General features: G+C 53.4%; 1 protein-coding gene across 27 annotated transcripts in view, besides 7 other annotated features; it reads left to right on the top strand.

The window, feature by feature from the left end:
- Positions 1-14,757, top strand: part of KIFC3 (kinesin family member C3) — a 104,642-nt gene that overhangs the window by 65,230 nt on the left and 24,655 nt on the right. For 14 of the 27 annotated variants that reach the window (XM_047434085.1, XM_011523075.2, XM_011523076.2 and 11 more), the window contains one exon: positions 2,488-2,630. In XM_047434085.1, coding sequence (XP_047290041.1) covers positions 2,488-2,630 — 143 coding nt within the window. Of the gene's footprint in view, positions 1-2,487; positions 2,631-6,601; positions 6,700-8,915; positions 9,055-11,962; positions 12,166-12,375; positions 12,706-14,757 lie in introns of those variants that run through there. The other 13 variants (XM_005255937.2, XM_017023221.2, XM_047434078.1 and 10 more) reach the window with 9 other exon arrangements.
- Positions 1,380-2,196: an enhancer, noted in NCBI's record as "H3K4me1 hESC enhancer chr16:57829345-57830161 (GRCh37/hg19 assembly coordinates)". NCBI's record gives its function as "activates a minimal SCP1, AML or CMV promoter by ChIP-STARR-seq in naive H9 embryonic stem cells {active_cell/tissue: H9 hESC(naive)}" and the evidence as "EXISTENCE:reporter gene assay evidence [ECO:0000049][PMID:30033119]".
- Positions 2,197-3,015: an enhancer, noted in NCBI's record as "H3K4me1 hESC enhancer chr16:57828526-57829344 (GRCh37/hg19 assembly coordinates)". NCBI's record gives its function as "activates a minimal SCP1, AML or CMV promoter by ChIP-STARR-seq in naive H9 embryonic stem cells {active_cell/tissue: H9 hESC(naive)}" and the evidence as "EXISTENCE:reporter gene assay evidence [ECO:0000049][PMID:30033119]".
- Positions 9,760-10,418: an enhancer, noted in NCBI's record as "H3K4me1 hESC enhancer chr16:57821123-57821781 (GRCh37/hg19 assembly coordinates)". NCBI's record gives its function as "activates a minimal SCP1, AML or CMV promoter by ChIP-STARR-seq in primed H9 embryonic stem cells {active_cell/tissue: H9 hESC(primed)}" and the evidence as "EXISTENCE:reporter gene assay evidence [ECO:0000049][PMID:30033119]".
- Positions 10,419-11,077: an enhancer, noted in NCBI's record as "H3K27ac-H3K4me1 hESC enhancer chr16:57820464-57821122 (GRCh37/hg19 assembly coordinates)". NCBI's record gives its function as "activates a minimal SCP1, AML or CMV promoter by ChIP-STARR-seq in primed H9 embryonic stem cells {active_cell/tissue: H9 hESC(primed)}" and the evidence as "EXISTENCE:reporter gene assay evidence [ECO:0000049][PMID:30033119]".
- Positions 11,737-12,396: an enhancer, noted in NCBI's record as "H3K27ac hESC enhancer chr16:57819145-57819804 (GRCh37/hg19 assembly coordinates)". NCBI's record gives its function as "activates a minimal SCP1, AML or CMV promoter by ChIP-STARR-seq in naive H9 embryonic stem cells {active_cell/tissue: H9 hESC(naive)}" and the evidence as "EXISTENCE:reporter gene assay evidence [ECO:0000049][PMID:30033119]".
- Positions 12,689-13,290: an enhancer, noted in NCBI's record as "H3K27ac-H3K4me1 hESC enhancer chr16:57818251-57818852 (GRCh37/hg19 assembly coordinates)". NCBI's record gives its function as "activates a minimal SCP1, AML or CMV promoter by ChIP-STARR-seq in primed H9 embryonic stem cells {active_cell/tissue: H9 hESC(primed)}" and the evidence as "EXISTENCE:reporter gene assay evidence [ECO:0000049][PMID:30033119]".
- Positions 13,291-13,893: an enhancer, noted in NCBI's record as "H3K27ac-H3K4me1 hESC enhancer chr16:57817648-57818250 (GRCh37/hg19 assembly coordinates)". NCBI's record gives its function as "activates a minimal SCP1, AML or CMV promoter by ChIP-STARR-seq in primed H9 embryonic stem cells {active_cell/tissue: H9 hESC(primed)}" and the evidence as "EXISTENCE:reporter gene assay evidence [ECO:0000049][PMID:30033119]".

The raw sequence follows: 14,757 nt of genomic DNA, 5'->3' as shown, positions 1-14,757 counted from the left end.
GGAGTGGACCGAGGCTGCTCGGGAACGTGGCCTGGCGGGGCTTGGGGTCCATGTGCTCATTTCAGGTGCTTCTGTAGAGACCCTGACAGCAGGTGGGCAGAGGTCCCAGAGTCTTGGCCCCCACTGTACCCCCCGGGGAGCTGTCAGTGCCAGCTCGCCTTTCTGGGTCATGTCCCCCGGTGCTGCGAAAGTCAAGAAGTGAGCGGCTTCTCTGATTCAGGGCCGGGACTGGATTGGCGGGGCCGCGGAGCTGTCCATGACCCTCTCCCGAGGCGTGGGCAGGTCGCCCTGGTAGTGTGGGGGAGAGAGGGCTCTCCAGGCAAGGTGCCTTCAGGGGTCTGCTCCCTGTCCCTCGTGACCTACAGGAACAGGGTCTAGACTGCCAGCCTGTGAGAGCTAGCAGAGTCCCTCTGGGCCATCAGGTCCAAGCCCCTTGGTGCACAGAAGGGGAAACTGAGGCCCAGAGAGGGCACACAGCAAACTCCTGTTCACCCCTCTCTCCCACCACATTTGTGCTGTCAGTGGCAGCTGGACTGATGCCTTCCGAGGTCTCTCTGCTTCTATGGTTGTCTGGGGCTGGCTGCTCCCAAGCAGCACAGCCAGGCTGGGGATGACCCAGGGGCCTGGGGAAAAGCCTGGGCTTTTGGGCCAGGTAGCCCAGTTGTCTGAAAGGGGCAGAGGATGGCCTCTACCCCATAAGGTTGTCCTAAGTATTACAAATGTAATATGAATGAGTATTGCTTTTCCGGTAAAACAAAAGCATTTTCCCTTAGAAAACTTAAAACACATAGAAAAATATCAAAAAGGAAATAAAAATCACAAGTTAGTCACTGAACATTTTATGTAGTGCCTTCTAGTCGTGTGTGTCTGTGTGTGTGTGTGCATGCATATAGGTCTTTGAAATATTGTGTTATCTCAGCTTTCTAACCTGAAGGAAAAAATTGGGTATTATGAAGATTATATGACCATACAGACTTTTATCCACTTAAAAAATTTAAGACAAAGGTCAGATGAAATCCTGTGTGTGAAATGCAAGCGCCGTGCCTGCCACTGGGCCTCAGCCAGCTCAGCTGCCCCAGGCCCCTCTGAGTCCCCCGACCAACCCCCATATTGCCACCCTGAGAATTGGCTGGCAGAGGGTTGATTAGCACATGGGATTTGAATCCTGGCTCCCTGTGACCCTGGGCACATTGTTAACCCTTCCAGGCTTCCGGTTCTTTGCCTGTCAGGTGGGGAGAATGCCCCCCACCTCCCTGGGGAGTTTTGAGGAGCTGATGGCTACTGTAGTCCTATTGGCCTGTACTGTGGGCCCTTTCTGTGTGCCTGGCACTACATGGGCACCACGTGTATTTCATCCCATTTGATCCTTATCACAGGGCTGTGAAGTTGTCCCCATTTTATTGACAAGCAAACTGAGGACCAAGAAGGTGTGTAAAGGCTGGGTGCTGTGGCTCACGCCTGTAATCCTAGCACTTTGGGAGGCCAAGGCGGGCAGATCACTTGAGGTTAGGAGTTCAAGACCAGCCTGGCCAACATGGTGAAACTCTGTGTCTGCTAAAAATACAAAAATTAGTTGGGCTGGTGGTGCGCACCTGTAATCCCAGCTACTCGGGAGGCTGAGGTATAAGAATTGCTTGAACCCGGGAGGTGGAGGTTGCAGTGAGCCAAGATCGCACCACTGCACTCCAGCCTGGGCAACAGAGAGAGGCCCTGTCTCAAAAAAAAAAAAAAAAAAAAAAAAAAACAAAAAAGCCCAAAAAAACAGAATGTGTGTAAGGCCTGAAAAGCACTTGGCCCAGTGGCTGGCACTCGGGATATTGTTACGCCCCAGGGTAGTGGCTCTGCAGTGTGCCTCATGACTCGTGAGGCTGGCCCCCATCCCACCCTGTTCAGCCCTGCAGGTGGAGGTGGGTGGCTGGGGCATTGCTGCCACAGCCCGCCCTCTCTCCCATGGGTGAGGGAGGCGGTGTGTCAGAGGCACAAGGGGATGCACGTTAGCTGGTTCTGAATACGCTTGGGGAGGCAACGGAGGCTGGGCCACCTGGTTTGGATTTTGTCTTAATGAAGTCAGGGAAGAAATTGCCACCTAGAGGCAGCCGGGGTAATAAAGCCATAGCCCCTGTGCAAGTCCTCAAAGCTTCATGCAGGCTGGCTGGCAATGGCTTCCTTCCACTTCCCTGCTGAGCAGATGCCTGCCCCAAAAGCCACTGTGGGGATAGGGGAGCCTCCGGTGGGGTATTGGGCCCCTTCCAGAAGAGAATCTTTGGGCGGCTTTTGGTAAGGAAGGAGCGTAGCCACTGCCCCGAGCCAGGCCTTCCCCTCTGCAGGGCAGGCGTTTTTTGGGTGTGTGAGCCCCTCCTGGCCACATCTGGACCAGCCAGGGATGTGTGAAAGCTGAGCTCAGCTGCGGCCCTGGCCAGTGGTCCATGGCTAGCAGTCTTTGGCCAGTGGTCGGAGTGTCTCACCTATCTCTCTGTCCTGGGACAGGGCGTGGAAAAGATACCCCAGTCTGCGGTGACGAGGACTCCAGTGCCCGAAGTGCAGCTCGCCCAGCCCTAGCTCAGTGCCGAGCCCTTAGCGTGGACTGGGCTGGCCCCGGAAGCCCCCACGGGCTCTACCTGACCCTGCAGGTAAGCACTGGGGCCTTCCAGGCTGCATGTGCCTTGGCTCTCTGAGCTCCAGTGGCTGGGTTCCTGCCAGGCTTCTGGGGGTAGGAAGCACCTGGGGAGAGCCGGGGACCCACCTCGCACCTCTCTGTTGGGCCCCTCATGACCCCTCTGCCTGGGAGCCTGCTTTATTAAGTCAGACGGGAAATCTCATAGGAGCTGACAGGAGCTTTTCAGCCATGCCCTGGCTGAGGTGTTAAAATGGGAAGCATGGGGCCTTAGCTGAGATGGGCAGAGCTTGGAGAAGGTATTGGGAAAACAGGCAGGTTTGGGGTGGTTGATTATTCTGAAACATGGTTATGTGAGTATTTCCTTGTATTTCCTTGGGAATATTTCCTTGTTTGAAGTGAGAATTCAAAGCTAGATGGAGGATTCACTAAAACTTGGGGTCTTCTCCCTTGCAGTTATCACCAAGTGACTTTAAAATGACAAAGTAAGGCTAGGCGCGGTGGCTCAGGCCTGTAATCTCACCACTTTGGGAGGCTGAGATAGGAGGATCGCTTGAGCCCAGGAGTTCACGACCAGCCTGGACAATATAGTGAGACCCTATCTCTACAAAAAGAAAAATAAAAAATTAGCTGGGCATGGTGGTTCCTATAGTCCCAGCTACTCAGGAGGCTGGGGTGGGAGGATCGCTTGAGCCCAGGAGGTTGAGGCTGCAGTGATTGCACCACTGCACTCCAGCCTGCGTGACAGAGTGAGACCCTGTCTCAAAAAAAAAAAAAGAAAAGAAAAAAGATAAACTTTACATATGTATGTATATTTGGCTATAGAAATAATACATAACGATAATAGTAATAAGAGCTACTGTTTATCAAACATGGACTCTGTGCCAGGCATTAAAAGATCTCATGTTAGTCCTCATCATACTCATAACAATCTCAGGATACAGTATTTGATCTGAGCTTTATAGATGAGGATGTGGAGGCTCAGAGAGGTTAAGTTACTCGCTGCTGGTCACATATTCGACCATTCAACACAACTAGCCTTGTAACAGGGCAGAGATACAGTTATCCAGAAACTGCCTCTCTTAGTCCTCTATCTTTGAGAAATCCACTATTAAGTATTTGGTGTTTATTTGTTTATCTTTCCTATATAGAACCACTTAATTAAATTTATATGATTTTTATTTTTGAGATGGAGTCTCGTTCACTCTGTTGCCCAGGCTGGAGTGCAGTGGCGTGATCTTGGCTGTAATATCCGCCTCCCGGGTTCAAGTGATTCTCCTACCTCAGCCTCCTGAGTAGCTGGGATTACAGGTGTGCATCATCACACCTGGCTAATTTTTATATTTTTAGTAGAGATAAGGTTTCACCATTTCACCATGTTGGCCAGGCTGGTCTTGAACTCTTTTTTTGTTTTTTTTTTTTGAGACAGAGTCTCGCTCTGTCGCCCAGGCTGGAGTGCAATGGCATGATCTCAGCTCACTGCAGCCTCCGCCTCCCGGATTCCAGTGATTCTCCTGTCTCAGCCTCCCAAGTAGCTGGGATTACAGGCGTGTGCCACCGTGCCCAGCTAATGTTTGTATTTTTAGTAGAGACAGGGTTTCATCATGTTGGCCAGGCTGGTCTTGAACTCCTAACCTCGAGTGATCTGCCCGCCCCAGCCTCCCAAAGTGCTGGGATTACAGGTGTGAGCCAGTGCACCCAGCCATATTTATATGATTTTTTTTTTTTTGAGACAGAGTCTCACTCTGTTGCCCAGGTTGGAGTGCAGTGGCATGATTGCAGCCCACTGCAACCTTCACCTCCCAGGTTCAAGCGATTCTCATGCCTCAGCCTCCCGAATAGCTGGACTACAGGCATGTGCCACCACACCTGGCTAATTTTTGTATTTTTAGTAGAGATGGGGTTTCACCATGTTGGCCAGGCTGGTCTTGAACTCCTTACCTCAAGTGATCTACCCGCCTCAACCTCCCAAAGTGCTGGGATTACAGGCATGAGCCACAGTTCCCAGTGCATATTTATATGATTTTTATTATTTATTTTACATGTTATTCTGTCACTAGCTCTTTCCCTCAAGTAAGTCCTGGTAATCTCTTCATGCTCATCAACACATAGAGAACTACCCTTTTTTTTTTTTTTTTTTTTTTTTTTTGAGCAAGGTCTGGCTCTGTTGCCCAGGCTGGAATGCAGTGGTAGAATCTCACTGCAACCTCCAGCCAAGTCATCTCACCTCAGCCTCCTGAGTAGCTGGGACTACTGGCATGTGCCACCACACCTGGCTAATTTTTGTAATTTTTGTAGAGACGGAGGTTTCATCATGTTGCCCAGGCTGGTCCCGAACTTGTGGGCTCTGCCTTGGCTTCCCAAAGTGCTGGGATTACAGATGTGAGCCATTACGCCCGGCCCTACCTCTTTCTTTTACACGGCTGCGTAATAGTCTACTTCAGGGCTTACCATAAATTATTTATAACAGATCCTCTGTATTGTTTCTGATTGCAGTGAGCTCCTTAAACAAATATCTGTGCTGTGTTCATGCAGTGATAGCTTTGAGTATTTTCAGGGCAGTACAAGCTCTGCCCATTTTTAATTAATGCATTTGTTCAACAGATTATTTAGAATGTGCCAGTCTGTGCTAGGGTCAGAGGTACAGTGCAGAAAGAGACAAGAGAGTCTAGCAGAGGCGCCAGAGAGTGACCAAATAATCACGAAGGGATGAAGGCAAACCAGGCAGGGGCCAAGAAGGCAGTGGCAGAGGACTGACACCAGGGCTATCTGGGGATGCTGCCAAGGCCCACCCCCCAAGAAAGCCGGTGCACGAGAGGGCCCACCACTCCCCCATGTTCTCCTGACCATCCACACACACTGATTCTGCCCTTTCTGGAAGCCACATTTCCACAGAGCCTTGAAGGAATGTGTACAAATTGTGGACAGGATGGAGTGTGGGAAACACATACCCTTCAAGGGGACGTGTCCTTCCTGGTACAAATGGATGTCCTGGCCCGGGTAGCTTGTTGTCCCAGCCCCTGATCTGAACACGGGTGCAGGGGTTGATGTTGCTTCAGGGACAGTCTTGTGTTTCGAGGTGTTTCTTGTTCCTTCTTATGTGATTCATCTGAAAACTGAACCAAAAGTTTCTTCTTTTATCTGTTCAAATCTGTTAGAAAAGCAGGTCTGGTGAGAGAACAGTTAAAGAAACCTGAGGACCCGCTCTTTACTCTGTCTTGAGCCATCTGTAGTTAAATTGGAAGGCAGCAGTCAGAAACCCACAGCCTCGAGTTGGGTGGTGGCTCTGTTCTTGAGCTTTGATTATGGGGTGCTGAGTTGTGGTTACAGCTGAGTCCTGGGGTCAGCAGATCTACTGAAGATCTCTGGGACGCTGGCACCAGCAACTAGCTTCCACGTTCACATCCTGGCGGGCCCCCACAAAGCTCCATTATGCGGTAGGTGCTTCAGGGTCGAAGATGTGGGGCCAGAGTGGGTCCCAAGCACAGTGTAGCAACCTGGTAGGGTTAGTGACACCCCCTCCCTAGCCTCTGTCCAGCAGTTAAAACCTGAGATGCACCCTACAGAGGCGCTGCAGAAATTCCCAACCCCCCAGGGCCCCGTCTGTCCTTCCTGTGGCTTGGCCAACAGGCCAGAAATAGCGTAACCTTTGCCTTGGCTGGCAAATGGAAACTTCCAGCTGCTGTCCTTGCCGCCATGGCTCACAAGCCTGCTCGCGATGGTGTGGCAGTTGGTCACAGGGTGGGGTCAAAATTAAGTTGGAGGGAATTTTCTATTTTCTTTTTGAGACAGAGTCTTGAGTTGTCACCCAGGCTGGATTACAGTGGTGCAATCTCAGCGCACTGCAACCTCCACCTCCTGGGTTCAAGCGATTCTTCTGCCTCAGCTTCCCAAGTATCTGCAATTACAGGCACCACGCCCGGCTAATTTTTTTTCCATTTTTTGTAGAGACAGGGTTTCACCATGCTGGCCATGCTGCTCTCGAAGTCCTAACCTCAGGTGATCCACCCGCCTCAGCCTCTCAAAGTGCTGGGATTACAGGTGTGAGCCACTGCGCCCAGCAGGAATATTCCTAAATATAAGAGGTGTGTCTGCCACCCGCCCTTCTCAAGTGGAGCTCTGGGTCGAGAGAGGGAGGGGGTGAATTTTGGGCTAAGGAGCCTGCTGATGTCACTTTTCTTGTCTTTTCAATTATCTGTATTGGCTTTTTGATTGTCAAAGTAAAAAAATGTGAAGATTACAGGAATCATGTCCTGATAATAGCTACCTCATATCAAGCCCTCACTATGTGCCAGGCACCTTCTGGGGACTTGGCTGCAGTTGTCTGTTACTCTTCACACAAGCTCAATGAGGCGGTCCTGTTATTACCATTTTTATTTTAAGAATGAGGAGAATGCAGCTTCAAGAAGGTAAGCAACTTGCCGACCGTCACACAGCTTAGCCGAGGAAGAGCCAGGCTTCACACACGGGCCTTGCCGCCTCTAGACTACGTGTTTATTTTTTAGACTGAGCACTTTTAAAAGAGTGGCTTATTTTTTTTGTTTTGAATTTAAAGGTCACAAAGACACACAGAAATTGTTTGCTATCTCTCTTCCAAGATAACCTCTGTTGATATGAAAAAAAAAAAAAAAAAAGCTGGGCATGGTGGCTCATGCTTGTAGTCCTGACACTTTGGGAGGCTGAGGCAGGAGGATCGCTTGAGCCCAGGAGTTTGAGACCAGCCTGGGAAACATGGCAAAACCCCATCTCTACACAAAAAATACAAAAATCAGCCAGTCATGGTGGTGTGTACCTGTAGTCTCTGCTACTTGGGAGGCTGAGGCAGGGGGATTGCTTGAGCCCAGGAAGTCAAGGTTGCAGTGAGCTGCTATTGTGCTATTGCCCTCCAGCCTGGGCCACAGAGTGAAACTCTGTCTTTAAAAAAAAAAAAAAAAAAGAAAGAAAGAAAGAAAGAAAGAAAAAGAAAGCAAAAAAAAATGGCCAGGCGCAGTGGCTCATGCCTGTAATCCCAGCACTTTGAGAGGTCGAGGCAGGTGGATCACTTGAAGTCAGGAGTTCGAGACCAGCCTGGCCAACGTGGTGAAACCCTGTCTCTATTAAAAATACAAAAATTAGCCAGGTGTGATGGCGCACATCTGTAACCCCACCTACTTGGGAGGCTGAGGCAGGAGAATCGCTTGAACCTGGGAGGCAGAGATTGCAGTGAGCCGAGATCACACCACTGCACTCCAGCCTGGGCAACAGAGTGAGACTCTATTTAAAAAAAGAAAAGAAAAGAAAACAAAACAAAACAAAGAAACACAGTCAGTGTTTATAAGGTTAACAATTCAAATGCCAAAGAGGTTCAACATGAAATGTAAGGCCACCTCCTTTCCCCTCTTCTCACGTTCTCTCTGTTGTGAACTTTCTTTTTATTCCCCCAAAATTGAAATGATGCTTCTTTCTACTCTCAGCCACTACACCATCCCCCCCGAATCTTCCAGAGAGGATCGCTGTCTATATAGTTCTCTAGATTTGTCTCTATGCCTGTTTTATTTTCATGATCCTCAAATGGGATCACTCTTTGCATGTGGCCCTGCCACCTGCCTTGGGCATCTTTCTGTGTGAGCGGCAGGTGACGTTCTCTGGATGAAACACCTCTTCGTGCCTCCCCTCTCTCTCCCTGTGCCTGTGCACTGGCTCTCTTTGTCTCGAGTCCTTTGCCTGTGTTCCCCCTGGAAGAGGAGACGGCTTCCCATGGCCTCTCGATAGCCCTGTGGGGCGGAGAGAGTGAAGGAGGCAGGGCTGTGGCCCTTCCCCTGCTCGGACGGACTCCTGCGCAGCCTCCTTGGCAGTCCTGGGGGTCCCATCTGGAGATGCGGGGCTGTGTGCCTGGGGTGGCAGCAGCTGGCATGGGAGCAGTTGCCCTGAGGTTGATACGTGTGTGGTGGGACTGGACGGTTGCCTGTGGGGTGTGCGCACCGGAAGCAAGCCAGCCTCTGTGCTGGTGACTCTCAGACCCTGCAGGGATGGCATGAGCTTCACCTGAGAACTTGAAGTACCTAAGAACCTTCTTTGCTGGTGCAGAAGACCAGCTGCTGAGGGAGGCCAGGAGAAGGCACTGCCACTGTCTTGCTGTGGGACCTGGCACATCCTCTTCCAGATCCTGGACCTCAACGTCCCCACCCACCCACAAAGGGAGGGACTGGACCCGCTGGGCCCTGGGATCCTTGCCAGCTCCGGGAGCACACCATCCTCTGGCTCGAGGGTCCTTCCCTGGCACAGTCTCCTTCACGTGAGGATTCTGGTTGTGTCTTGGCAGCAGGCCCTGCAGGACAAGGGGTGCAAGAGCCAGAGTCAGGGGACGAAAGAAGAGAAGCTTTGGAAGAGACAGGCGCCGGCCCCCAGGCGGGCCCGGGAGGCCCGGGAAGCTGGTGGCACCATGAATGTAGAGAATACAGGTAAAGCAGGCCTGCCCGCCAAACCGGCACTCCCCAGTGAAGCCAGCGCAGGAGGGAGGCTCTTGTGCAGTTGGTGATATCCCCATGCCCTGTCCTCCCCGGCTGGAGGTGGCCTAGACAGACTCCAGCTGCCTGATCCGCAGCTGCAATCCCCCAGCCTGCCTCTCCCGGATTCAGGGACAGTGGTGTGTATAGAACCTTCATCTCACCCATGCCTCCCACAGCATCCAGGCCCCACCCAGTGATAAGAGTCCTTGGCCAGCGTGGGCTGGGGTTGAATTTCCCTGCTTTTTGTTTTTTCCCAGTGCCTGTCTAAAGCAGGGCGAGGGTGGCAGCCTCACAGACGCCACCACCTGCAGAGAGAGACTCGGCCTTCTCCCTCCTATCCGTGGGCCCCCAGGGTCTGGAGGCTCCTAGGACAGGACTTTGATTCTCCTGGCCAGAGGCTGAGACAAAGGAGCCAGTGGCTCAGCTCTTCCCTGGCAGGGCCTGCCATGGTGCCCAGGGCTGGCTGGTTCTGGAAGATTCTACAGGCCCCCCTTGTAGTCTTACGGGTCCATGCCGGGGGTCCCTCGCAGTAAGCGAGAGCCTGGTGATAATGGGGAAGCAGCATCCTCTAGGAGCCCGGAAGGAAGAGAGCGTGTGACGGAAAAAGGAGCTGGCCTTTCTGTCATCTTCCTCCTCCATTGCCAAAAGGTTAACTTGTGTGTCTGAACTTGCCATGTGGTGGAAGGAGCCACTCCCTTCTCTGAGGCTGTCCCAGAGCCCTGTTCTGGGGTTCTGGCCTGTCTGGGCCCAGGCACTCCTCTGCAGCGAGTGGCAGGGGTTGGGGTCTGGCTGAGTGTGGGCAGGCCAGCCTCGGGCAGGGGACATCATCTTGCTGATTGTGCGCTGAGAAGAGGAAGGCCGATCCCAGGGAACAGCAAGGGTTACCTGGTCAGTGGGTCCAGGCCACGCCTGCATCGCATCTTTGAGCCCCGAGTGCAGCCTCCCCAGCACAAGGGCCCCTTTGATCTCACCTTGTCCTCCCGTCCTCCCCTTTCTGGGGCCTCCATGAGCTTCTTGGAGATCTTTTCTCCACAAGCACTCTCCTGGCCCCCTTCCCACTGCCCTGCCGCGGTGCTGAGACCCGGCGAGCCCCTGCAGGGGTGACATCCCGTGGCGTGAGCAGTGTTCTGGATGAGCTGGGCTCTCCGAGACCTCATTTCTGCCCCATGGCCTGTTGTGTAACAGCCACCCACACCTGTGCATGTCCATGGTGCTGGGCTCCTTTCGGGCAAGGCTCCTTGTCCCCATTTCTCCTAGGAAGCTCCTGCTGGGCCCCTCCCACACGTCTCTCGAGTGGCAGAACCAGCTCTTGGGCCAGGAGTCCAGTGTGTTCCCTGCCTCACTGCAGCAGCCTGCAAAGGGCTGAGGGCCACGCTGGTCACGTGCTGCTCATGCTGCCCCGTGTGCAGGCCTGGAAGCATCCGTCTGATCTCACTCACTCTAGAACAGATCGCAGGAGCTTGGCCAGCTCTGTGTGACATACATGCTGCATCACGTGCAGGCCACACAGCCAGGGTCACCACCCAACCGGGGATGCCCAGCTCCAGCTCTCTGGAGTGCTCGGGTGGAGGAGGGAAGAGCCGACCTGTGCGTGCCCCTCCTGCTCTCCTAGAGCGGGTTGGGGGGGCCTGTAGCTATCTGCCCCTCCTCCTGGGGCTGTGCTGAGATGTCCCCGCCCAGCTGCAAGCTGCACCCTCCCCACTTCCCTGTCCAGCTGAGTCCGTTTGGCTTCCCTCAGGCCAGGCTGTCAGAGGGGTGTGTGACTTCAGGTGCAAGTGGCTTCCTTCCCAGAGTCTAAGATCCCCCCAACCCCAGCCTGCCGAGGGCTGGGTTTCCTGGGGACTAATGTGGGAACACCTAGAGCCCCAGGCTCCGAGGTGGAGGGCAGCGCTCTCTGGCCAGCAGATGCCCTCTTCACCCTTCACTCTGCCACACTCTGTCACATCCCATTTGGTGCTCCCTGAGGGGAGGAGGCAAACCCCCCATCCCTCCTCCCTAGCCCCCCATTCTTCTCTCTCTCCCCCAAACTCTTTGCTCCCTACCTGCAAAGACCATGGCCATTCTTGGCGCCCTGGAAGCAAGCTGTAACAAGCATCCCAGGCCCCGTGCACAGGTCACGGGCCCTGATTCTGTGTTCTTGTCCTTCATCCATCTGTCCATCTCTCTCGTTCCTGGTGACAGGACAGTGGGAGGCCTTTGGAGGAGGAGGACTCAGGCAGAGCTTCTGCCCAGCCGGGTGTTTCCCTCTCTCTTGCCTGGGAGGTTCCTGCGCTTCATCCTTGCTAGGTGCCGGCTGGCTGAGTTCTTGCTCCATGTGTGGGGCTGGCTTTGTGTCCTGGTCTGTCTGTCCCTCGCACATACACACGGCTCCCCTGGCTCCCCTCTTTCTGCACAGTTGACCACTTGCCACAGGGGCAGGCTGGGGAGCCCCACTCTTCTGTACTCTTGAGAGGGTTTGAGACTTAAAGAAATAACGTTCCTACAAGAATAGAGTTTTCTAGGGTGAGAATCCCTTGTCTTTCCCAGCTGCGATTCCTTGCAGCCTGGCCATGGAGAGAGGCTGGCCCATCAGACCTAGAACATGTGCTTTGAGAGCCGTATTCAGTGAAAATTGCTTTCTTAAGTCCGGATCCAGGTAATTTCATCCCCCAGATGCTGCCTGGGGAAGTGTCTTCTTCTGGGACAGGCCCTGGAGGCCCCAGCTAACCTATGCCGCTGCCGCCCCAGCCCTCACCTGGTTGCCCACCCCCTCTGCTTGCACCTCTATCATCCCTGGTGGTCTGTCTTGCTGTGATGGACCCCCTCCTCTGCCAGCGTGGGACCTCTGCTGCCCTCTCATCAGCCACTACTTTGCTCGTAGGTGGGCGTCTCTTTGGCAGCAGGAGGTGCTCGAGCTTGTCGGGGCCACCAGGTGCGGCCCCCATGGTGCTTAGGATGGTGGAGGCCATGTCCCAGCTCCAGGACGAGAAGACCCAGCTACAGGAGGAGCTGGTGGTCCTACAGGAGAGGCTGGCCCTCCGCGACAGTGACCAGCAGGCCACGTCCACCCAGCTGCAGAACCAGGTACCTGGGGAGGCTGGGATGGGCAGAGGCCACTGCCCACTATGGAGCAGGTCAGAGGACATCACCTGGGCACCTGACCCCACCAGGCTACTGGTGTAAGAGGAGATAGCTGGGGTCTCGTTTCCTGGAATACGCTGGAGGGTAGGGTGGTGAGAGTCAGAGGCCTCCCATCCTGGAGGATGCGCTTTTGAGATGCAGCATTTCTTTCAGCTTGCAGAGGCCTCCCATCCTGGTCCTCCTTGTGCCCCATCTCCTTGCGGTTACCAGGGGCCAGGACCTTCCCCACTAGGAGGTGACGTAGATGTGAGTGGAGCAGGAAGGTGCGGGGTGCTTCCCACCCTGAGTCCACCCCATCTTCGACGGTGCCCTGCACTGGGCAGCCTGAGCGGACAAAACTCATCAGATGGTCACCCCACAGGAGATTGGCATGACGTTTCTTGTTCTTTTGATTTCTCGTTAAAGGTGGATGCTAGTTTGAGTGCATGTTGGGGAAGGGATCTCTCAACCTCTGGAAGCCAGGGAGAGCCAGGGTTCATGCAGGTCAGCGTTGTCTCCTTCATTGGCTGGGCAGGACATTTGGGTACCATTGGCTCATGAGCTGCACGTCCCATGGGGCTGACCACCGGCCCTCTTCTGTGTGTGTGACTGCGTCACTTTCTTCTCCTTCTGCATCTCCATGTGGGCTCCCAGGCCTCTTTCCCCACTCTCATCCTCAGTGTCTGTCTCTGTGGCTGTATCTGAGCCTCGCCCACTTCCCCAAGGTCTCCAAGCCTGTCTGCCACATCATCCCCACTTCTGATCCAGTGCCCTGGCCTGGCTGTTGGGCCTCTGAGCTCTGGGCCCAGCACTCTGTTGACAGACTGGCCTTCAGGTAGAGCTAAGTTCTTTCTGTGTCCCATGAGCCAGCAAAGAGATGGCCTGGACATGCCGACGTCTGCCTGTTGCGCATCATGTGTGCTGTGACTTGTTCTCTCAGTTCTGGGGGCAGCATATTGTGCGCGTTTTTGAAATGCAGCATTTCTTCCAGCTTACAGGTGTGTCCTCTTCTCAAGAATGGCCTGGCCTGCCCACCTGCCCCTTGCTGAGTCGGGTGGGGCTCCTTGGGGCACCCCTCATGCTTTGTGTCTTCCTCTTACACACTTACCCCACAGCTTGACTATCTGGGCCTGCCTTCCCCACTAACTGGGGACTCCTCTAGGCTAGCCCTGTATCCTCTTGCCTGCTGCATGCCCGCCTGCTCCCTTGGGTATTTGTGCACGCCCCTTTTGTACTGGCACTGAGCTGGGCACGGGGGATACCCCAGTGGACAGCAGGCTCCCACCTGGTGGAGGCTCTGCCTGGGGGAAAACGGACATTTGCTTCACACACCCACAGAAAGTGGGAAGGGCTCACTGGGATGGGCACACACATGGCCTCGAGGGCTTGTCCCTGGGCGTCTTGAGCTGAGCTCTGGGACAGAGCAGAGGAAAGTGTACTCTGAGCTGAGGCCTAGCCAGTGCAAAAGGACTTGTGGTAGGAGAGGTGTGGCTCAAGCGCCTTGGGGGGTTGCAGGGGGTCCAGGGCCCACCCTGAAGGACACGTGTCTGGCCTCAGGCAAAGGCTGAGCAGCCCCTCTTCCTTCCCTGACCTTCCCCAGTTAGGCTTTTCAGACACTTCATTTTGCAAATAAGTGTTTTTTAAAGGGCTTTGTGGGCTGGGCGTGGTAGCTCACACCTGTAATCCCAGCATTTTGGGAAGCAGAGGTGAGTGGATCGCCTGAGGTCAGGAGTTCAAGACCAGCCTGGCCAACATAGTGAAACCCCGTCTCTACTAAAAATACAAAAATTAGCTGGGTGTGGTGGCGGGCGCCTGTAATCTTAACTACTTGGGAGGCTGAGGCAGGAGAATTGCTTGAACCCGGGAGGGAAAGGTTGCAGTGAGCTGAGATCACGCCACTGCACTCCAGCCTGGGCAACAAGAGTGAAACTCTGTCTCAAAAAAAAAAAAAAAAAGAAAAGAAAATGGGCTTTGTGGAGATATAATTCACATGCCATAAAATTCTCCCCTTGAAGGTGTACAATTCGGTGGTCGGTGGTAAGTATATTAAGGTGGCAATGCACCCATCACCAGTGTCTCATTGCCAAACGTCTTCATCACTCCAACAGGCCTATTGATGGTCACTCCCCATGCTCCTTGCCCCACAGCCCCTGGCAACCTTTAATCTGCTTTCTGTTTTTATGGATTTGTCTTTTCTGAACATTTCATAGAAGTGAAATCGTAGTATCTAACCTTTTGTGACTTTAAAGAGGTTTTTGAAAACACTTTTTCCTTTAATTAACAAAATCAACTTACTTTTTAAGAAGGGAAAGTGAGGAGGAAACATCCCAGCCTTTTTAGTTATTTGAGCCCCAGCTCTCTAGCCTCTCTTAGGAGAACCCCCGAGCTTACCCCACTCCCACAAGTGACTTAGGAATTCAGAATGGTTCCTGGTCTTTGTTCTCATTTTGTCCTTGAATGTTGTTTTTCTTTTTCTTTTTTGAGATGGAGTTTCGCTCTTGTTGCCCAGGCTGGAATGCAATGGCGCAATCTCGGCTCACTGCAATCTCCACCTCC

The sequence above is a fragment of the Homo sapiens genome, chromosome 16 (assembly GCF_000001405.40).
Source record: "Homo sapiens chromosome 16, GRCh38.p14 Primary Assembly".
NCBI classification, from domain to species: domain Eukaryota; kingdom Metazoa; phylum Chordata; class Mammalia; order Primates; family Hominidae; genus Homo; species Homo sapiens.
This window is presented reverse-complemented; position numbering and strand designations above follow the sequence as displayed.